The 23,872-nt window shown below is 39.7% G+C and overlaps 1 protein-coding gene and 1 long non-coding RNA gene across 7 annotated transcripts in view; both read right to left on the reverse strand.

Moving 5' to 3' along the window:
• The window catches only part of NIBAN1 (niban apoptosis regulator 1), a 183,477-nt gene that overhangs the window by 133,082 nt on the left and 26,523 nt on the right, over positions 1–23,872 (reverse strand). The window lies entirely within an intron of this gene.
• Positions 1,131–22,775, reverse strand: LOC124904469 (uncharacterized). The gene is made up of 2 exons (XR_007066770.1): positions 22,591–22,775; positions 1,131–19,352 (listed from the first exon to the last, which is right to left on the reverse strand). It is a non-coding gene; the product is annotated as an uncharacterized LOC124904469 (long non-coding RNA).

A 23,872-nucleotide genomic window follows, 5' to 3' on the forward strand; every position in this document is an offset into this window, starting at 1 on the left:
GAGTAACAGTTATGAAGTGGGTGTCCTTGTTGTGTTTCAGATCTTAGAGGAAAGGATTTCATGTGGACCTGTCATATATGGCTTTTATGGTGTTGAGGTATGTCTCTTTTATACCCAGTTTTTGAGGGCTTTTGTCACAAAGGGATGTCGAATTTTATCAAATGCTTTTCAGCATCAATTGAAATGATCATATGGTTTTTGTCCTTAATTCTGTTGATATGATGTATCACATTGATTGATTTACATATATGGAATCATCCTTGCATCCCTGGGATAAATCCCACTTCATCACGATAAATGATCTTTTTAATGTTTTGTTGAATTCAATTTACTAGTATTTTGTTGACGATTTTTGCATCAACATCCATCAACAATATTGGCCTGTAGTTTTCTTTTTTTGATGTGTCTTTGTTTTTGGTGTCAGGTAATACTGGCCTCATTGAATGATTTGGAACTATTTGCTTCTCCTTTGTTTTTCAGAATAGTTTGGGTAGGATTGGTATTAGTTCTTTAAATGTTTGGTAAAATACAGCAGTGAAGCTATCAGGCCCTGGGCTTTTCTTTGCTATATATTTATTACAGCTTTGATCTCATTACTTGTTATTGGTCTGTTCAAGTTTTGAATTTCTTCATGATTCAATATTGGTAGGTTGTAGGTATCCAGGAATTATCCATTTCTCTTAGGTTTTCCAACTTATTGACATATAGTTAGCCATAGTGGCCACTAATAATCCTTTGAATTTCTGCAGCATTGGTTGTAATGTTTCCATTTTCAGGTCTAATTTTATTTGGGTCTTGTCTTTTTTTCTTAGTCTGACTAAAGTTTGTCAATTTTACTTATCTTTTCAAAAACCCCACTTTTTGTTTCATTGATCTTTTGTATTGTTTTTTCATTTCCATTTCATTTATTTCTGCTCCAATCTTTATTATTAATTTGCTTGTTATTAGCTGCTTATTATAATATCTGGGTGCTCTAGTGTTGGGTGCATATATATTTACAATTGTTATAACCTCTTGCTGAATTGACCCCTTTATCATTCTAAAATGACCCCTTTTGTCTCTTTTTATAGTTTTTATTTTGAAATCTATTTTATCTGATATAGGTATAGTTTACTCCTGCTCTTTTTTGGTTTTCATTTGTATGGAACATCTTTTTCCATCCCTTTATTTTCAGCCTATGTGTGTCATTATAGGTGAAGTGTATTTCCTATAGGCAACCAATCATTGGGTCTTGTGTTTTATCCATTCAGCCATTCTATGTCTTTTGATTGGAGAGTTTAGTTCACTTACATTCAATGTTATTATTGATAAGTAAGGGCTTACTCCTGCTATTTTGTTATTAGTTTTCTGATTGCTTTTTGGTCTTCTCTTCCTTCTTTTCTGCCTTCCTGCCATTTTATTAGTGAAGATGATTTTTCTCCAGTGGTGTTTTTAATTTCTTTATTTTTATTTTTTTGTTTGTTATATGATTTTTTTATTTGAGGCTACCATGAGGCTTGCAAATAATATCTTATAACCCATTATTTTAAACTGATGACAACTTAACACTGATTGCATAAACAAATAAGCAAAGAGAAAACAAAAAAAAACTCTATACATTAACTTCATTTTTTTAACTTTCTGTTAATCCACTTTTTAACTTTCTGTTGTTATATTTATAGCTTATTGTATTGTCTATGTGTTGAAAACTTGTAGTTATTATTTTTGATCAGTCCATCTTTTAGTCTTTCTACTCAAGACGTGAGTAGTTTACACACCACAATTACAGTGTTATAATATTCTGGCTTTTTCTGTGTACTTACTGTAACTAGTGAGTTTTGAACCTCCCAATGCTTTATTCTTGCTCATTAACGCCCTTTACTTTCAGATTGAAGGACTCCCTTTAGCATTTCTGGTAGGACAGGTCTGGCATTGATGTAATCCTTTAGCTTGTCTAAGAAAGTTCTTATTTATCTTTCATGTTTGAAGGGTATTTTTGCTGGATATACTATTCTAGGATACAAGGTATTTTTTTTTTCCTTCGGTACTTGAAATATGTCATGCTACTTTCTTCTGGCCTACAAGGTTTCCACTAAGAAGTCTGCTGCCAGACATATTGGAGCTCCATCGTATGTTTTTTATTTGTCTGTTTGTTTTTGTTTTTAAGACGAGACTCACTCTATCGCCCAGGCTGGAGTGCAGTGGTGCAATCTCTGCTCACTGCAACCTCCACCTCCCGGGTTCAAGTGATTCTCCTGTCTCAGACTCCAGAGTAGTTGGGGTTACAGGCATGCACTACCAAGCCCAGCTAATTTTTGTGTGTTTCGTAGAGACGGGGCTTCACCATGTTGGCCAGGCTGGTCTTGAACTCCTGACCTCAAGTGATCTGTCCACCTTGGCCTCCCAGAGTGCTGGGATTACAGACATGAGCCACCACACCCAGCCTCTGTTGTATGTTATTTGTTTCTTTTCTCTTGCTTCTTTTAGGATCCTTTCTTTATCCTTGACTATCAGAGTTTAATTATTGGATGTCTTGAGATAGTATTATTTGGGTTAAACCTATAACCCAAGTTAGGTGTTCTATAACCTTCTTGTACTTGAATATTTATATATTTCTTGAGGTTTGGAAAGCCTTATTATTCCTTTGAATAAACTTTCTACCCCTATCTGTCTGTCTACCTCCTCTTTAAGGCCAATAACTCAGACTTGCCCTTTTGAGGCTATTTTCTAGATCTTCTAGGCATGCTTCATTCTTTTTTCTTTGATCTCCTCTGATTGTGTATTTTCAAACAGCCTGTCTTCAAGTTCGCTAATTCTTTCTCCTGCTTGATCAATTCTGTTATTAAGGGACTTTGATGCATTCTTCAGTATGTCGATTACATTTTTCAACTCCAGAATTTCTGCTTAATTCTTTTTACTTATTTAAATATCTTTGTTAAATTTATCTGATAGGATTCTGAATTCCTCCTCTGTGTTATCTTGAATTTTGTTGAATTTCCTCAAAACAGCTATTTTTAATTCTCTGTCTGAAAGGTCAAATATCTCTGTCTCTCCAAGATTGGTCCCTGGTGTCTTACTTAGCTTTGGTGAGGTCAAGTTTTCCTGGATGGTCTTGATGCTTGTGGATGTTCATCAGTGTCTGGGCATTGAAGAGTTAGGTATTTATTGTCATGTTCTCAGTCTGGGCTTGTTTGTACCCTTCTTTCTTAGGAAGGCTTTCCAGGTATTCAAAGGGACTTAAGTGTTGTAGTCTAAGTTTTTGGTCACTTCTGCCATATCTGCATTAGGTAATGCTGTGGCTCTTGTAGATTCATAGAGATACCACCTTGGTGGTCTTGGATAAGATCCAGAAAAATTTCCTGGATTACCAGGCAGAGTCTTGTTCTCGTCCCCTGCTTTCTCCAAAACAAATGGAGTCTCTTTCTCTGTGTTGAGCTGCCTGGAGCTGGGGAAGGGGTGACACAAGCACCCAGTGACCACCACCACTGGGACTATACTTGGTCAGACCGGAAGCCAGGCACAGCACTAGGACTCACCCAAGGCCTGTGATAACCACTGCCTGCCTACGACCTATGTTTGCTCAAGGCCTTAGGGCCCTACAATTAGCAGATAGCAAGATGAGCTTGGCTTGTGTCCTTATTTTCAGAATGGTGAGTTCCCCCCAGGCCCTGAGCAGGTCTAGAGATGCCATCCTGGAGCCAGGACCTAGAGTCAGAAACCTTAGGAATCTACCTGGTGCTCTATTCTACTGCAGCTGAGCTGGCACCCAAGCCACAAGACCAAATCTTTTACACTCTTCCCTCTCCTTTCCACAAGCAGAAGAGTCTCTCTCTGTGGCCCCCACAGCTGGGAATGTACTGGGTCTCACCTGAATCCAGCACAGCTCTGAGTCTCACTCAATGCCCATGGCAAGTACTGCCTGGGTACTGCTGATGTTTATTCGAGACCCAAGGGCTCTTTAGCCAGCAGGTGATGAATCCAGCCAGAACTGGGGCCTTCCCTTCAAGGTAGCAAGTTCCCTTCTGGCACAGGGTGTGTTTAGAAATGTCCTTTGGGAACTAGGGGCTGGAATGGGGGCCTCAGGACTTTGCCTGGTCCCCTATTCTACTGTGGCTGAGCTGGTATCCAAGGTGTGAGACAAAGTCCTCTTTACTCTTCCCTCTCCTGAAGCAGAAGGAAGGAGTCTTTCCAGGAGATGCAAGCTGTGCAGCCTGGGGTTAGGGGAATGGTGATGCAAGCACTCCCTTGGCCACCCCAGCTGGTGTGTTACTGGGTCACATGTCCCCCAACTCCACTGGCTCCAAGGCCAGCACAGCACCAGGACTTGCCTAGGAATTACAGTCTTTGTGGTCTAGACTGCCTTTCAAGTGTATTTAGGACCCCAAAGTACTTTAGCTTGCCAGCACTCAGGTTCTGACCACTGGGATGCGTGATTCCCCTCTGGCTAGGGCTTGTTTAAATACTCCCTCCATGGGTGCCAGCTGAGTTCTTCCTGGCATTGCTTTCCACTGTGACAGGGCAGCACTGAGTTCCAGTGCAAAGTTCCTGTGCTCTCCCTCCCCCAAGCATACAGATTCTGTCTCTGTGCCATGCGACCACTGCCAGGGAATGGAAGACTGGGTGGTATAGGCAATTCAAGACTGCCTCTCCCACCCTCTTTGGTGCCTCTTTCAGTGATAGGAAGTTAAAACTAGGTACTGTGATCACCTGATTTTTGGTTCTTATAAAGGTGATTTTCTGTGTGAATAGTTGTACAATTTGGTGTTCCTGCAGGGAGGAAAATCGCTGGAGGCTTCTATTAGGCCATCTTGCTCTGCCCCAAGTCCTCTTCATTTTCACGTGATGCACACCCACTCTCCCATCCCCTTGTCCCCACCCTACTCTACCTGCACACATACAAATGAATGTAAGTGGGGAAATAACCCCAATGTAATGAGAAGTATAATAAACATGTAAAATACAGTCACTAAATCATTTTTCTTAATAGTTTCATTACATTTGGCTTTTGATTAAAATAATTTCTGTTCCTATCCATGATTTTAGTGTCATATTGCGTGTCCACAGAAACTCCCTTCCTTGAAATCCCAGCCAGTCCTTTTCTAAATCCCAAAATACTTTATTTTTCTTGTCAGTGTTATTAAAGTATAATTTACAGACAAAAATTTCACCAAGTTTAAGAGTAAAATTCAATGAGTTTGACACGTATTTATAATTGTACAACTACCACACAATCATGAAATAAAATATTTTTATCACACCAAAAACCCAATCTTAAAAAAACAATTCAGGCCATCTAAAAAAATTGCTTTTATTCCTATTCAAATGTTCAAGTACCCCAAAATCATAATGTTTTAAATGCTTCTAAATGGTGTTGTCCTTTGACCATGTGAGATTTAATAAGTCTAGTTTTTTCTAAAGTTTGAAAGGAAGGTCTATGCCACTTTTTTTTTATAAATAGCAACTTCCTAGAAGATTTTTTTCACCTCCAAAAAAGAAGATATATAAATTTTAAGGCATTCAGTTTTTAAGCATAAAACTCACTTGTAAGATTTTCCCTCTGAAAGTATGTCTTTTTTCCTCCACCACATGAGTTGTATATTTAAATTTAAATTTTGGTTTTTTTCTTAATGTAACAATAAAACAAGAACTAGCTAATTGCATCAGCTCCACTAACGTGTGGTCAAAAGGGTTGTTAAAATGTATCTGATAGATCAAATTATCATGAAGTTCTAGCAGGAGGATTTGTCAAAACTTCTACTGAACATTGTGCTTGATGCTGTAAACATCACATTTCATCATCTAACCAACTGTAAGCCTGCAACTAGCAGATTAGAACAGAGACAGCCCTCTTAGACAGTAACAAGAGTAAGACCAAAAACAGGAATCGAGAACCCTTCCATCCCAAAAGAGCTTCCAAAGGATCAGGACATCAGCTCCAAGTTGAAGTTTCCCTGTTCATGCTCCAATGACCTCAGCTGGCAGAACAAAAGCAACCAGCTTGTTTACCTTCCATGTGTCTCTTACAGACTTTTCAGGACCATCCAGTTTGCCGAGCTTTCCTTTATCCTCTTTCACAACTTCCTACTCAGTGTTTATTTTACCAGTAAGTGACAGGAGAAAAATGGATAGGGTACGACTCAAATCTATCCATTTTGCAAATGATCGGCAATGAAATAAGTCTTCAGAGATTAAACTCTAGGTACACAGCTGAGAGAAATGTTTGAAATCTGCTCAATTCAGATTGAAGGCTGCCACAACATAGAGAGATGTATCTATCAACCCTCATCTGGAAGAGGAGGAGACTGACAGTTTAATTTCTCCTGGCAGGTTTCCCACATTTCTATTTGTAGGGCACACTCCGTAGCGTAGAGATGCCTGAAATGAGCATGTTCAAAGTGATAAGAAGGAAACTGATTCAAAGGGGAGCAAGTTATGTAATTTCAGTGATTTCAACATATGCTTTCCTGTATATATGAGGAGATATGATTTATGAAATGTGGACCATCAAGAGGTAAACCAGACAAGAAAATCATACGACACCCATTAAATAAACTCCTAACTGGTACACGTAGTGGGTAGAAGGGAGCAAGGGCAAATATGACCATGACGCTTCTATATATAATCATACAACCACCAACTTGGAAAACAGAGCTTAAGGTATGGATGCTCATGCATCAGCCTCACTTCCAGCAGAGCCCTTTGATAAGATGATTGTGGTCACCAAATGTACATTATGGTTTTATGACACATTAGTGTACATCATAAAACCAGAGCCATAAAGGGATGTGGTTCAACCAATTAGTCTTAAGTGCTAGATAAAATACTTCAGCATGAGGTAGATGAGTCTGCAGGCACATTTTAAAAAGAGCGTGTTTCATTGTTTCTAAGTGCACTTTTTCTTCTTCTTTTTTTTTTTTTTTTTTTTGAGACTGAGTCTCACTCTGTCACCCAGGCTGGAGTGCAGTGGCACTGTGTCGGCTCACTGCAACCTCCATCTTCTGGGTTCAAGCAATTCTCCTGCCTCAGCCTCTCAAGTAGCTGGGATTACTGGCACCCACTACCCTACCCGGCTAGTTTTTATATTTTTAGTAGAGACGGGGTTTCACCATGTTGGCCAGGCTGGTCTCGAACTCCTGACCTCAGGTGATCCACCCACCTCGGCCTCCCAAAGTGCTGGGATTACAGGCGTGAGCCACCGCACCCAGCCCTCATTTTAACCTCTCTATATTGTGAGTATGTCTTTAATCAATGCAGTCTTATAACTGGCTTCCACTAGTTGCTATCATGATGTAGTTGCACGTGTACAATCTTGGTCATACACATTAATATTATTGTCGCTTTAGCTAAGATTTACTTATAGTGTTAAATTTCATTTCCATTTTATATGTCTTTACATGTAACTCAACATTGAAACAAAAAGTTATTGTATAAGTAGAAAAGCATAGAAATGAAGTTGGAGGATAAATTTGATATTAGTGGAATACATATTTTTCTTTGGAAGAATGACCACAATTCTGTATTTTATTGCAAACAGCAATCAGTTGTCTTACAGGATCTATAACAAAAGGTAAATGAAGTTGAGTTGCATTTTGCTACACAGACATGTGCAAAGAATTGTCTATCTTATGCCAAGCCATACAAGAAGGCAGGCAAAAGTGCCAAATATCCCAGAAGAAAGGCAGGAAATGTCAAAGCAATAAGAAGCCAGTATGACCAACTCATGTGTAGCGCAGCACAATCATTAAACATCATTGACAGCACTTTTTTCTTAAAGGTACATAAAATAGTGGTGTACTTTCAACTGAGGTCATGTTCACATCAAATACTATAGTCAAGTTTGTCTTTAGCACCCTCTCCATGTTCTCCCTTCCTCCAGATATCTCATATACTGCCCAGCTATTTCTGAATATTAGTGTTACCCCTCCCAGGGCTACTAATATTTGAAACATAGCATCTAATTATAAAACGAGTTATGTACAAGGCTGGTTCAAGCTGTAAAAATGTTCCTTGAGATGATCTAGAATAGTGGTCCCCAACCTCTTGGCACCAGGAACAAGTTTCATAGAAGACAATTTTTCCATGGACCAGGGTTGGGGTGGCAGATGGTTTTGGGATGATTCAAGTGTATTACACTTATTGTGTACTTTATTTCTATTATTATTACATTGTAATATATAATGAAGTAATTTTGCAACTCACCATAATGTACAATTAGTGGAAGCCCTGAGCTTGTTTTCCTGCAACTAGACGGTCCCATCTGGGGGTGATGGGAGACAATGATAGATTGTCAGACATTAGTTAGATTCTCATAAGGATCATGAACTTAGATCCCCTGCATGCACAGTTCACAGTAGAGTTCGTGCTCCTATAAGAATCTAATGCTGCCGCTGACCTGACAGGAGGTGGAGCTCAGGTGGTAATGCAAGTAATGGGGAGCGGCTGTAAATACAGATGAAGCTTCGCTTGCTCATCTGCTGCTCACCTCCTGCTATGAGGCCTGGTTCCTAACTGGCCACAGACGGTACTGGTCCATGGCCTGGCGGTTGGGAACTCCTGGTCTAGAACACATGGAAAGTCATAGGCTCACATATTCTTTTCTTTTGTATATTTGACTTATTTGACTTAAATTTTGATTTTTTAAAAGCTTAAAAGTTATGAATAATGTATAACATAATATTTAACAAAGACAAGATTTAGGCATAAGCAAAGAAAAAACTATCTCCTTCTCTATTCCTTGTTAGTGCCAGTCTCTCTGCATCTATTTTCTTTAGTGAGTAGAAAAACTATCTGTTTATCCCAGCCAAAGATTGCCTACAACCCTTCTGACAAAAAAGAGAAACACGACAGATGGCAATTATAATGGTAAACTCTCAATAATGCAGAAAGCATAACAAAAATCTCCTCCTCCTAAATTTGACTAGAGACACAAAAATTAAAGAGTAATTAGATAAAGTGCAAGCTCTCAGTCTAACAATGAAAGCACTTTCAATACTCACAGAATATTCCCAACTTACATTTCACTCTTACTTCTACTACTTCCCTACACTCCCACCAAAGTAGACTGCCATTCTGACAGCATGACCTACACCTTACCATCCCTGCTATGCCCCTGCTGCAGTGCCCTTTCTCAAAGTCCAGTTCAACCTTTCAGAATCCTGTCCATCCTTTAAGGTCCATTCACTCAACATATATCCACTACAGTCTATTTATAAAATACTAAGGACAGGAAAAGTAATTCAGAAGGTCCCTGCCCTGAGGAGCCACCAGTCTGACCTATCTTAATTGCTACATTTTCCGCAAAGCCCTTTTGGATCTGCCAAACCACCTGTGATCTCTTCTTCCTTTTAAACCCCTTCTCTGGTATTTAAGAATCTCTGACCAATCCCCTACTATGAATCAGGGATAGTGCTGGGCACTTTCACATGCATTTATATCATTTACTCCACACCACATCTTCATACACAAATAAGGCCTCCATAGACCCCTGGGCATGTAAGAAAACTGATGTTCATAAGTTCACATCCATGGCAAATGCCTTGTTAGGAAATGAAATGTAGTTTTATCAACTTTTGTATCTGCGGCTATTTCCATCAATATTACAGCAGCACCCACTTCATCTTATTATTATTTGTGTGGTTATCTTACTTTCTCTATTACAATGACATTTTAAAACAAGAATTGAATCTTATACAGTCTAACATAAGTTTCAACACTCGCTATAGAAATGCCTGGTTTATAGCAGCTACTCAAAGAATGTTTCATAAGAAAGTTGTGTTCCAAGTATTCTGGTGAATGCCAATGCTGGTTCACAATGATGGGGGTCTGAGAACCAACTGACCTCCCTGACATTGTGTGAAGCAGGAACATACCGAACCTTTACTGGAAGTTGGAAGAGGAAGATGAGAGCTGTGAGGGATCTCAGAATGCATATGGGAAATCATGGGTTCAAGAAAGAGGCAATAAAAGAATGGAATCAACCTAGGTGCCCATCAACAGTGGATTGGATAAAATGTGGTACATATACACTATGGAATACTATGCAGCCATAAAAAGTAACAAAATTATGTCCTTTGCAGCAACATAATTGCAGCTAGAAGCCATTATCCTAAGCGAATTAATGCAGGAACAGAAAACCAAATACCACATATTCTTACTTATAAGTGGGAAGTAAACATTGAGTACTCATGGACATAAAGATGGCAACAATAGACATTGGAAACTACTAGAGGGAGAAGGAAGGGAGGAGGGCAAGTGTTAAAAAAACTATTGGATACTATGCTTACTCTCTGGGTGATGGGATCAATTGTACCCCAAATCTCAGTATTATGCAATATACCATGTAACAAACCTGCACATCTACCCCTTGAATCCAAAATAAGAGTTGAAATTGACCTGGCTCAGGGGCTCACACCTGTAATCGCAGCACTTTGGGAGGCCAAGGTAGGAGGATCACTTGAGGCCAGGAGTTCAAGACCAGCCTGGACAACACAGTAAGACTCCATCTCTACAAAAATAAATAAATGGCCACTAGCAGTGGCTCACGCCTGTAATCCCAGCACTTTGGGAGGCTGAGGCGGGTGGATCACGAGGTCAGGAGTTTGAGACCAGCCTGGCCAATATGGTAAAACCCTGTCTCTACTAAAAATACACAAGTTAGCCGGGCATGGTGGCGCATGACTGTAGTCCCAGATACTTAGGAGGCTGAGGCAGGAGAATCGCTTGAATCTGGGAGGCAGCGGTTGCAGTGAGCCAAGATCATGCCACTGCACTCCAGCATGGGAGACAGAGAGACTCCATCTCAAAAAATAAATAAATAAATAAATAAAAATTAGCCGGGCATGGTGGCATGCACCTGCAGTGCCAGCTACCCAGGAGGCTGAGACAGGAGGATCACTTAAGCCGGGGAGCTCAAGGCTGCAATGAGCCGTGGTCACACCACTGCACTCCGGCTTGGGTAACAGAGCAAGAATCTGTCTCAAAAAAAGGAAAATCAATTTGAAATTTATTTTTAGACCATCATTTAATAGCAGACATTTTTTTTTTAAGTTTTAGCAAATGTCACATACTACAGCTGTCATACAATCAAAGCTTCTGTCTGTGAGGTAGAGATTTTCAGAGGGAAATAAAAAATAAGATCCGAGGCTGGGAATCGTGGTTCACCCAGCACTTTGGGAGGCTGAGGTGGGAGAATCACTTGAGTCCCAGCAGTTCGAGACCAGCCTGGGCAATGCAGTGAGACCCTGTCTATACAAAAAATAAAAATAAAAAAGCTGGGCACAGTGGCAAGCACCTGTAGTCCCAGCTACTCAGAAGGCCAAGGTGCGAAGATCACTTGAGCCCAGGAGGTTGAGGCTGCAGTGGGCCATGATTGTGCCACTGCCCTCCAGCCAGGGTGATAGAGTGAGACCCTGTCTTAAAAATAATAAGATCCAGCAAATAAAAGAAAGGGGCAATAATCTAACGTTGATCTGATTGAGCTTGGAAGGTCTAAAGCAAGCAACATTTAATACATAGAAATATATATATTTTTTTAAATGTGAAAATAAAAGGGGGATGAAAATTTGCAAAAATTCAGACTGGCTTGATCAAGCTTTGTTCACAGTTCTGAGTACAACATAGGTACCTGGGAAAAAGAAAGCCTAGTTGGGTAAATTTCAAGGTCTGAATCTAGGGACACCAACTAAGTCAAGAGTTAGGGTTTTTTTTTTTTTAAGTTTTGACTTAAAATCCAGAATGAAAACCAATCCTTTTCCAGGAACCTACATAGCTGAGAGAGCTCAACTTGGATTTCATGTTAGAAGAGTTTCCCTGGGACAAACGGGAGACAGGCTCACAGGTGAAGGCAAATGCAGACTAGTGAGAGAGTTGCAGGATTTCAGAGCTGACGAACCACAGCTATATCTAACCCAACCTATTTTTGTGATAGATGAAAAAAAAAAAAAAACAGGGGAAACTAAGCGTCTATTGAAAGGTTTACACTTATGCTAAACTAATTAAGTAACATGAGCTTGCCACTCAGAACTGACCTCATCCAAACATAACTGTGTTCCCAGATTCCATCACCAGACCATGAAAGCCATATGTACTCCAAAAGAGTGCTTATGTGCTCTGCTTGGACTATGATAGATGCTGGAAATGGAGGATCCTGAGGGAAAAAGAACAACAGGAGAACTCACAGATTCCGGGAGTGTAGTTTCAGCAGCAGACAGTCTCCCAGGTTTTGATCCCCTGGAGAGTGAAGGAGCAAGCTTTCCAAGGGAAGTGGGGAGGAACAGCCATCCAAAGGAGCTCTCTGTCAGGCCTCATATTTCTCATGTTCCTGTATTGTTGCCTCCTGGTGAGTTTTCTGCCACTGCTATACGAAATTACCATAAACTTCATTGCTTAAAAAGAACAGAAACTTCCTCTGCAGTCCTGGAGGCTAGAAGTCTAAGTCAGTATCACTGGGATGAAATCAAGGAGTTAGCAGGCCCACCTGCCCTCTGGCAGGGCCATTCCCTTCAGAGGCTCCACTCCTTGCCTATTCCAGCTTTGGTAGCTACTGGGACTCCTGGGCTTGTGGCTGCATCACTCCATATTGCTTCAGTCTTCACACTGCGTGCGTGCGTGTGTGTGTGCGTGTGTGTGTGTAACCTCCCTCTGCTTTTCTCTTATAAAGATATATGTGATTGCATTTAATCCCCTAATCTCAAGTTCTTTAACTTAATCACATCCTCAAAGACACTTTTTTCCAAATAAGGTAACATTTACAAGTTCCAGGGATTAGGACCTGACATCTTTGGGGAGCATTCTTCAGCCCACTACCCCACATTAATAAAACTCATCCCCATGATTAATATAAAGATGTTTTCAAGTAAAGAAACTGAGGGACTTATATGAAGTCACACTACAAGACTCTTCTCCATCCTATCCCTTTCCTCCTATGCTCCTTTCTTCCTTATACGGGCGCATTTCTTTATAAGAAATTAATAAGTTCATCCAAGGAAGCAATAAATATTATGTAATACTGAGGACCTTGGTATTCATTGCTGACTTCTGTTAATAGCTGGATTCTTTTTTTTTTTTTTTTTTTTTTTGAGAGACAGGTTCTTGCTATGTTGCCCAGGTGGAGTGCAGTGGCTATTCATAGATGCAATCACAGTGTACTACAACCTTTAACTTCTGGGTTCAAGCAATGCTCCTGCCTCAGCCTCTAACTAGCTGGGACTATAGGTGTGTGCCATTGTGCCTGGCCCTTAGTAGCTAATCCTAAAATCACTCTTAAGATGGTTCTGGAGGTCATACAATCTTCTATTGTCCCACTAGAACCCTTCCACTCCAGAAAGTGGAACTTATTACTTCTCCCTTTCTTCTCCACACCACCACAAAGAAAAGAATATGTATATTGTTTGTATATTGCTTGGTTCATTCATCACCTTAATAAATATTTCTTAACTACCTCTCATGAGCCAGACACTGTGCAGGTCTTTGGAGACATAAAGATGAAAGGTGGGGCTGATGCTTTCAACGAGTGTAGCAGAAATGGAGAATTGCAAACACAGTAAATGTGACAAACGTCGTAACAAAATAAAAGCAGGTGTGGGCAAAGCTAAAGCCAAGGAGCAACATGTTGAGGAGTGAGCTCAGGTTCTTTGTATTTCAGTTTGCCACTGATTTTCTTACTGTGTGACTGTCAGCAAATTACTTAAGCTCTCTGAGCTTCACTTTTCTCACCTGCAAAGTGGAGACAAAGACCACCCACCTTAAACAGCTACGTGAGAAGTAAAGAGTACAATATATGTAAAGCAGCTGACCCACTGCAGGTGCAAGGAGCATGTGAGTCCGGGTGAGGGACTGCGGGAGCTTGACAGAGAGCTAAGGCTTGAACTGAAACTTGGCAGGCAGGTAGAGGTTTATCAGGCCAGCCGAGGCAAAAGCTAAGGAGGCAAAGGATGAGGTGATTGGAAAGAAGCTCACAAGATGAGGCTGGAGAGGTGGACAGAATCTCTGGTCATGGAGATTAACAGGGAGCTGATGGATACCTACTACTGGGAAAGTGACATGCTGAGATTTGCACAGATATGTCAAGAATGATTTGGGGAATGCACACACAAAATGAGAATTAGGAGATCAGTTACAATTTGATATATAACTTCAAGCTTCATAAAAGCTTGAAGTCAGGCAGTGACATGGAAATGAATAAGAAAGAAGGAATATCAAAGACATTTTGGAGTAAGAATTTACTATTTAGTGGGGGGTTGTTTGTGGCAGGTAATGGAGAGGGAAGAGATAAGGATGGCTCCAAGATTCTCGAGTTATGTCTACCTAATCACAAAACAACTAGATAATCAGTCTTTCTCTTTTTTTCTTTTTGTTTCTTTTTTTGTCTCCCTTTCTTCCTTCCTTTCATCTTTCTTTTCTTTTTTGCTCTTTCTGTGTTTTCTTCTTTGTAATCAAGTCAAATCTTTTTTTGTGAATTGAAAAAAGCAAACTGGGACATAAATACAAAAGTAGGTTTAACATATTTTTCAGCTTTCAAGTGATTGTTTTGACATCATGAAGCCACTAAAAATTTATTTTTAAACACTGTTAAGCTTTCTATTCAGAAAATTTAATGATTCTAATGGAATTCTCAAGTTAAAGTGTACTTCTAATAAGAAATTACATAGTGCTGAGAGGCATAAATGCCAAATATAAATACAATTTTAAAGACTGTATTTATTATATAAAGATAATTCTCACTGACATTTAGTAAGATTATATTTATTATATAAAGATTGTATTACTAGGGCTTGCTCCAGTAATCATGGCCGATATCCCATGGCCAGTGGATAAACTGCATCTTTAAAAGCTGGCTTCAGCAGCTAAATCGAGTTACTTAGGGTCGGTTATGTTATCAAACATCCATTGGCTAATTTATTCCTGAAGCAAATTGATTACCATTCCATCTGGAAATAATTAGGGATTATTTTGACTTATTTGAGAATTTTGCTTGTCTTGCCTTGACTAGCATTCATTCAACATTCAACAAATGTGCATTGAGTTGCTACTATGCACAAATGTACTAGAAGCTGCAGAATTATAAAGAACACAGTTTGGTGCTGACACAAAGGTGAGATACAGCATATTTAGTACAAAGCAGAATGCACTGGGCACCACATCAGTGCCATAAACAAGGCTCTCTGAATTTAAAAGAGAGTGACACTTCCAGGGGGAGTAACTGGAGGCAGAAACAAAGGTAGAAAAAAATCTTAGGCAGAGACAACTGCATAAACCAAAAAGCAGAAAGTGACAAGGCCAAGGCTTCTCCCCTATTCCTACTGTCCCCACAATAGAGCATGCCTCTTGTCACCAAGGCTCCTCTGCAAGCTTCCTTCCTTTCTCCTTCTCTGGGTCTCAAGTCAAACATTACTCCCTTTGAGAAGCCTTCTCTTTTTAAGCAGAATTTAGTTCCCTTTCTGGAATTCACAAAGCCCATTCCGGACACATTTTAAATGCATTTATCACTTAATATTTAAGAATCACTTAAAGCCCCTGGATTGCCTGGTTTTAAGTCTCTGCTTTGCCACTTGTCACCAGAAAAACTGTGGGCAAGTTATCTAACTTTCCTGTGCTTTGCTTTCCTCATTTAGGAAATGGAGATACTGATACCTACAGAACTGGCTAGGATTACAAGGAGTAAGTTATGTCAAGGGCTTACTGCCGTACCTACCAAGGTCAGGGCTCAATAGGTGCTAGCTGCTATCACTATTCCATACTTAGAGCGCTGTGTCCCACACTAGATTGCACACCTCTGGTGGGTAGGGGTAAATCCTATTCATCTTTGTATCTCCACACTCCATTATGGCATTTGGAAAATATGGAATAAATTAAAATTTTCAGTGACAAATATCTGGTTCCGGGAGTGTCTCAGAATATCTTCAGGAGAAAATATCCAATAAGCAGATGGTGATTCTGAATTTGAAAGACTTTAGACTGTTTCTGGGATGAGACAAAACCAGTGAGAAGGCAATGTCTCCAGATGCAGAATAAGAGGGAATAGGTGAAGGGGCCAGGTCCTGGGCTAAGTGGGGATTCTGGCCAGACACCCTGTGCCCTGAAAAAGGACATTGGGGGTAACTGGCTACCCAGAGATGATGTTGACAAGAGACCCCAGGAGCCAAAACCCCTGGATTGCCGGCACCAGCAGAACCGTGGCTGGACCTCAGAGGCTAAATACAATCTCCACTTCCACTGCAAAACATCTAGTTTTAACAAATCAGTGATTGTAAATGGTAGCAAGGAAGCATGATAGTAAATAAATTCCTCCAAATTACTTTAGCAGGCCTGGCAGTAATGTGGAACTTTTTGAATTCCTCAAATTGTATAATACCACAGACTTCTCCCATACCACTCAGCTTTGAGTGGCTTTAAAATATAGGAAAGAAAACAATCTATGATGTGTTGGTTTTAAATACTTTTGTGATGAAAGCATAGTAACAAGTATATAGTAACCTAATTTGTGTAAATTAGTATACCACAGTGTATTTTGGTAGTGGGCTAGGGGGAGAACTAGTGTTGTCTTAAAACCTTCTGATAATAATATGATTCCTATTAACTTCCTATGAGCATTTTGCAAGAAAGTCAAGCAAACCACTTGCATAAAAATTTTTTAACTTTTTTCATTAGTTCTGTGAGTAAAAATGCTCAGGCACACTCTGCATTCTCAGTTAATAGATGAAATAGATAACCGCTGCAAAAATATGAGGAGGATCATTCCATTTCTTAGTGGAAAAGGTATGGTGAAATCATCAACATTTCATCATTCGATCTGCTTGAGATGTGTTGAACAGGTTGACTTCCTACATCTCCTAGCGGGTTAAGCGGGCAATGTGCCGCAAACAGGTACAACAGAGAAGGCATCCGGACACACGTCAGTCTATCCTTTCTTATATTCCAATTATTTTCCAGTTCACATTATGGGAAAATTTGATATACATTGCATTGACTCTGAACATCACTTAGGACAGTACCCAAAGCACTTACAGTTTTGACAAATGGAAGAAGGAGGAAAAAGAAAGGAGAAGAGTTTGAAGACAGAAGAAATTAAGGAAAGTAAACTAAAGCAATTGAAACTATTTGGCAATCCTTTCCCTCTCAACTCTAAGTCTTATTCTAAATTAGGGGTTTTCTAGATATACAATCATGTCATCTGCAAACAGGGACAATTTGACTTCCTCTTTTCCTAATTGAACACCCTAAATTAGGAAAGTTAAACACCTAAAATGTCAACACTTTCATTTAAAGAATGTGGGAGAGCCGGGTGCAGTGGTTCACACCTATAATCCTAGCACTTTAGGAGGCCGAGGCAGGTAGATTGCTTGAGCTCATGAATTTGAGACCAGCCTGAGCAACATGGAAAAACCCTGTCTCTACAAAAAATACAAAAACTAGCCAGGCATGGTGGCACCTGCTTGTAGTCCCAGCTGCTCAGGAGGCTCAGGTGGGAAGGTCACTTGAGCCTGGGGGATCAAGGCTGCAGTTAGCTAAGATCGCACCACTGCACTCCAGCCTGGGCTTTAACAAAGCAAGACCCTGTCTCAAAAAAAAAAAAAAAAAAACCTGGGAAAGATCCCATAGATCTGAATTTAGATACCTGGGGGTGTGAGATGGGGAAGCATAACACATGTATTTTACAATGATAGTTGTTTTACTCTGTTTACTAAATGCCAGTCAGAAGTGTTTCCCTGTGTCCCATGCTAAGTAATAACACAGATTGATGTCTGTGGTCATGTTGCTGCAGTATTCTCAGAGATGCAGCTACAACCGGGGTTCAGTAGCAGATCAGCTGCTCAGACAGAGGAGACCATATTTGCCCTAATTTGTAACAAATTTTTCGGCCACTCATTCTGCGACTCTCTGAGTAATCTTGACTCAACTTCCCATACCTAATAACCCAATAACAGAAACTACCTTAAGACAATGCATAGTATCATAATTGTGCCTACAGTTTTTTAAAAAAACAAATTAAGTAGACAATTTAAAGTTTATTGAAGTCTTTGAGTTATCATTTACTCAAATACACACAAATTATTGATCTGAAGAATAATTTCTCAGGGAGCTGATAGAGATCATAATGAAAGTTATACAGGCCAAGAAACACAATAATAAACTATCAGAAAAAGAACTTGGTAAGTACCGTATCTTTCCACTTGCTGTGTGCATTAAAGTTATACTTTTTTAGTCCATTTAGTTGTTTTCAATTTAAAAGAGATGCAATCTGTGGGTTATAAAATACAAAAACAGCTTTGGACCACATCTCTAGCATAGTAGGAAGAACACAAATGAAACTGACAGATGCCGCGGGGCGCGGTGGCTCACGCCTGTAATCCCAGCACTCTGGGAGGCCGAAGCTGGCGGATCACGAGGTCAGGAGATCGAGACCATCCTGGCTAACATGGTGAAACCCCGTCTCTACTAAAAATACAAAAAAATTAGCTGGGCGTGATGGCGGGCGCCTGTAGTCCCAGCTACTTGGGAGGCTGAGGCAGGAGAATGGCGTGAACCCGGGAGGCGGAGCTTGCACTGAGCCCAGATTGCCCCACTGCACTCCGGCCTGGGCGACAGAGCGAGACTCCGTCTCAAAAAAAAAAAAAAAAAAAAAAGAATCAGGTTCCTCCTGGACGCTGCCTGCTGATGTGCCTACCTAACTGGCCACACTCAGCTCTGAGGCAATGGCTGGTAGGAGCAGTCTCACACTCACCTTGTAACTCTGCACTGACAACGCAGCCAGCCCTATGGTTTGTGACATCGAATATGAGAAAAGGGACCTCCAAGTGACTCGAAAATCAGGATGTTCCATAAAAATCCTCAATTATTCTTTCCAAGAAGAGGAAAAAGTAATAGGCAAAGAGAAGAACATCAGTGGCGGAATGAGAGCTTAGCATTTTGCTGTTTTGGAAAGTGATATCTCTTCTTATAATTTGTCTATAAAAATGATTAGCTTTGGGTCATAGGCCCCTTTAATGATCTGCTGAAAGCTTTGGATACCAGAAAAACATAGTAGACATAAAATTCTGCTGCTTCCCATTCCCTGACCTCAAGTCAAGACACTTCGATTTAGATGTCTGTGAAGAACCCTTCTAAAACTAGCAAGCCTAATATTTTCAGTTACAAAATTTGATCAGAATGAGTTCCATGAGAAGCCTTCATTGGCCAACAAATGGAAAAACAAGGGGTTTAGCCTGAGAAAGTAAAGAAAAGAGACTACAGTTCAATTTTATGGATGTTTTATTTCAGACTTAAATTCAATTTTTCAAATGATGACTCTTTGGGATTAATATAGGCATCCGATCACTGCAACTTTAGTCTCCCAATGCACCAATGCCATTTCTTAGAGAAGAATTTCTATTTTCCTGATAGAAGCAAAGAGGTTGTATTTGGGGTTCAGAGGATAATGTTAATGCTGAATGACACAGGAAAAAAACAGCAACAACCATATTATTTAGAAGTTGACCACATATCTTGCTGCTTGAATATTTGCAACTTGCTAAGGAATGCAATGTAGCAAGTCATAGACTAATAACTCAGCAACTGCAAATTATTGTTCAAAAATGACCCCCAAAAATCTTAGTACCAAGGTTATCAAAGAGAAGCAAATAATAATAATAATAAATAAATAAAATTTTTAAAAATGACTCCCAAAATCTTTGCTCATATAAGTGGAATTTTAGCTTATGTGAATTAACTTAAAAATCTTTATTAAGTTCTAAGTTTTCTAACACACTGCACTAGACACCGAGGTGATATAACAGTATATAGTTCACTATGGAAGAGTACAACCGAAAGGGAAAAAATAAAGCTCAGGATTTTAAGCTTATCACAAAAACAGGGTAAGATGGATAGGATGATCTTGCAAAAAGACATATGGAAAAATCATACACTACATTTGTCCCTGACACATTGTACAGCAACAGCTATACAATTACCTCTACGGACGTTGCTGATTGCTGTCTTTGTGTACATGGAGCATCAAGAAGTCATATCCAGAAGATATCCAAGTACCACTAGTGAAAGGAAACCCACTGCTGCCCTGGGAGGTAGAGGATGGATGATGGTCACCACTCATTGGTGATAGTGAAAGGCTCTGTGCAGATAAGATATGGTCAGTCAAGCTTGTTGTCCATCTTTCTGGTGACTAGTTCTAGATTATAATAGTCTGCTGAGACATACTAAGCCCACTAGTCCATGATTCAGTACTTGGGTCTTTATGGGAATGACCACACTGCTAGAAGACAGAGAAGCAGCATTGGCATCTAAGAAGTCACAAGCTGAAGACTAGAAGACCCAGCCACACAGGTGGCGTTCTTGTAGCTTCTTCCTCTCAATGGTTAGGACTTTGAAAAAGAGAGAATATTGGGAAAGTGAACAGCTAACTATGAAGAGGTACGTGGTGAATAGGATATTTTCTGTTTGATGCCTTTAGGTAATGCAGGAATGGACTTTGGGTAGGGTTGGAGTACATGTCATGAGGACAAGAACATCTTGGAGACTATTAAGCAGTCTCTAAACTTAGTATAGGACAGTAAAGAAAGCAATGCTTATATAAAACCATGAAACCAGTTGTCATAAAGGTCTGCAGTAATGTCATGGGAAAAAGAATAGTGGGAGAGGAGCCATGAGATTCCTACAGAAAACAACTGGAAAATGTTCCCAAAGTAATACTCTCAAGGGTCTTTTAGTTGTATAGGCCCAGGCCAGAGCATGGGAACTTGAGAATAAGGTGGTAAATACAATCTCATAATAATTACTGGGATTTAGTGTATTCCAGAGAAATATCTGTAAGGAAAGGAGGTAAAGAAATACCCCTCACCTGTGTGAAAATCCATGCACCTAGATGGTAATGAGGACACAGAGGCATTCGAAAAAGAATTAAATAAGAGGAAAAGAAATCATATTATTGATGAAATAGATATTAACAAACTATCTGGCCAAATGGAAGAAATGAGAGATATGTTCCTAATTTAGTATACAATGCTGGCACAGAGGCACGAAACAGTTATGATGGGAAACTTCTACTGCGTTTGATTGGAGACTAAACTAAAAGCAGAAAGTCTGGCAAGTTACTGCCTGCACTGAATTTTTCTTTACAGAGAGAGGAAGTAACCAGGGGAACTGCTACTTGGAGAGATACCAGCTAGTGAAGTGAAATAATGAACCTTGGGTGAAATCAATGATGTCATGAGAGAACATGGCAGAAACCCTCTTAACCACCCTCCACTCATCCAAGGCTTTTCACTCTGTAAAATATGCTTTAGAAAGTTTTGATAAAGAGTTTCTAAAAATAATTACTGTTAAATTACATGTAGGTAAAACAACTATAAATACAGATCTAGATGGATTCTGTCATCAGATTTCTTTACAAGGTCTTGCCCAACTTAAAAGAAATTAAGACTGAAAATTATAGATGATGCAAAAATGACAATATGGAACTGCAAGCAATCTTTAAAAAAAGACCTTAGCCCTAGGTCAAAGAGTAGCGAGTGAATATATTTGTTTCATTAACATATTTTAAGTTAAAAGATTCAAGATATGTGTATCTTTTAATGATTTGCTACTTTAACGGTCTTTTGGTTAATTGTCCCACTCCATTCCAACAGCAATAGACAAAAGACATTTACCCTGACATTTCTGATAGCCAGATAGAGAGTCGCTGAAAATATGACAAGAAAGCATGGACTTCAAGAAGGCAGATTTCAAAAGAATCAGCAGAAACAGCATCATGACTCTGTGGGAAGAGCGTTCTGAATGAGAGTCAAATAGCATCCATCTGTCCGCAGACTATGGACAATTTTGTCTGTATAGTCACAGATGGTGATTCCACCAAGGAAGGAAGGATGGAGGTTCCTACATAGTTCTATTATGACCTGATTTCAAAGCGCTGGGATTAAAAAAAAAAAAGAAAGAGGGGCTCCTCAAGAACAAATGCAAGAGAGTTTTGGGTCTCTCCAAAAACAGGGACAGATAGATTGAGACCTATAATTTGTAAGAACAACAAGAAGCATTCTAATGGTTATGTTAGGCACAAAAGGAACACAAGGGAGAAATAAGCCAGATGTTTGGCACCAATGACATCATGTTGCTGGAATAACAAAGTGAAAGGAGAACTGCTCCCCTATTACTTTCGCAATTACTTCTCTTCCAAGAATAGTGATTTTCAGACTTAAAATAGTAGACTAAATATGGTTACAGAAAAAGGAAGCTGAGGATTAGTAAAGAGATTTAAAGTGAGCCTTGAGATGCTATAAAATAACAACAATCCAGCATGCTGAGAAAATTTACAAATAAGAATGCTAAACTATTGTTAACCTGTGGGAGTGCTGGAAGAGTTGAATGGACAATTGTAGATCTGATTCTCAAAAAGAGGAAAGAGGAAGGATGAATGGAAATGTATGCAGATTTATTTACGCCTTGGAGCTTAACTGTAATACCAGGAAAGATTATGGAGTTGACAGTAATGGGAAGTCTTGAAATTTCATGATAAAAAATTAGATCATAAATAGTAACTGTTTCTAAACTAAAAGTTGCTATCAAATTTATTGGAGAAATAATAGAGATATTTTCTTTTAAAAAGCAGAATAAAAACTAGAATACCTGCTATTGGGAGTGGAAGGCCACATTCTCCACTCTTCATATTTTCATAAAAAGAAATCTGGAACAACAGGAAGAAAAAGCTGCCTTAAAAGGAGTACATGGTTCAAAACAAAGAAATGCATTGTTTCGGGAGGCCAAGGCGGATGGATCACCTGAGGTCGGGAGTTTGAGACCAGCCTGACCAACATGGAGAAACCTTGTCTCTACTAAAAATACAAAATTAGCTGGGCGTGGTGGTGCATGCCTATAATCCCAGCTACTCAGGAGGCTGAGGCAAGAGAATCTCTTGAACCCAGGAGGTAGAGGTTGTGGTGAGCCAAGACCGCGCCATTGCACTCCAGCCTGGGCAACAAGAGCAAAACTCCATCTCAAAAAGAAAAGAAAAGAAAAGAAATGCATTGTTTCTCCTACCTTGCTTTCTGTTGGATCAAATGACATGTAGTCCAAGTCTTTGAGATCTTTGTAAAAGTATGACAGCTCTTGTACTCAAATGACTTTAAGAAGGTTAAGTAGACAAATTGCATTAGTGATAGAAAGCGATGCTATGAAGGTAGGGTGCTGTAGTAAAAAGGGGTTTGGCTTCAGACACAGAAGAACAAATAATGTATTATTTAGCGGTATGAGGTACACAGAGCAGGCAAATTCATAGATGGAAAGTGAAATAGAGGTTACCAGGGTCTGGGAGGAGAAGGAATGGGGAGTTATTTAATGAGCACAAAGTTTATGTTGGCGATGATGAAAACATTTTGGGAGTAGATAGTGGTGACGGTTATACAATATTGTGAATATAGTTAATGCTGCTGAATTGCAAGTTGCCAATGTTTAACATGATAAATATGTATATTTTCCAGCAATAATTTCTTAAAAGGCCTGGCTTTGACCAAATAATCCTGGGTTTGAAGCCCAGATTCCTGTATATTGAACCCCCCTTCCTATACAGACAGGAGCCTTGTGCTGACCAGGGGCCAGAGGCCAGAGAGAGCTGGCTGGGCCTAGGCAAGAGGAAGTGGCAGAGGACTTGGCACAGGAGCTAAGTGTGAGCCAAGGGGTGGTGCAGAAATTAGGAAGAATTCAGTCCTGGCACAATTCACTAACAAAATAACTGTCCAAATATGAATTGACTGGCTTCAGGAGATAGTGAGTTTCTTATTACTGGAGGTATTGAAAGCTGCTTACCCCCTTGGTAAGGGCATTCAAGCATGAAGTTATCTTTAATGACCTTTAAATTCCCTTCCAAAAGAGCAAGCACGTGATGTTTATTCCTTTACCATAATCTCCTTAA

Source organism: Homo sapiens, chromosome 1 (genome assembly GCF_000001405.40).
Source record: "Homo sapiens chromosome 1, GRCh38.p14 Primary Assembly".
NCBI classification, from domain to species: Eukaryota; Metazoa; Chordata; class Mammalia; order Primates; family Hominidae; genus Homo; species Homo sapiens.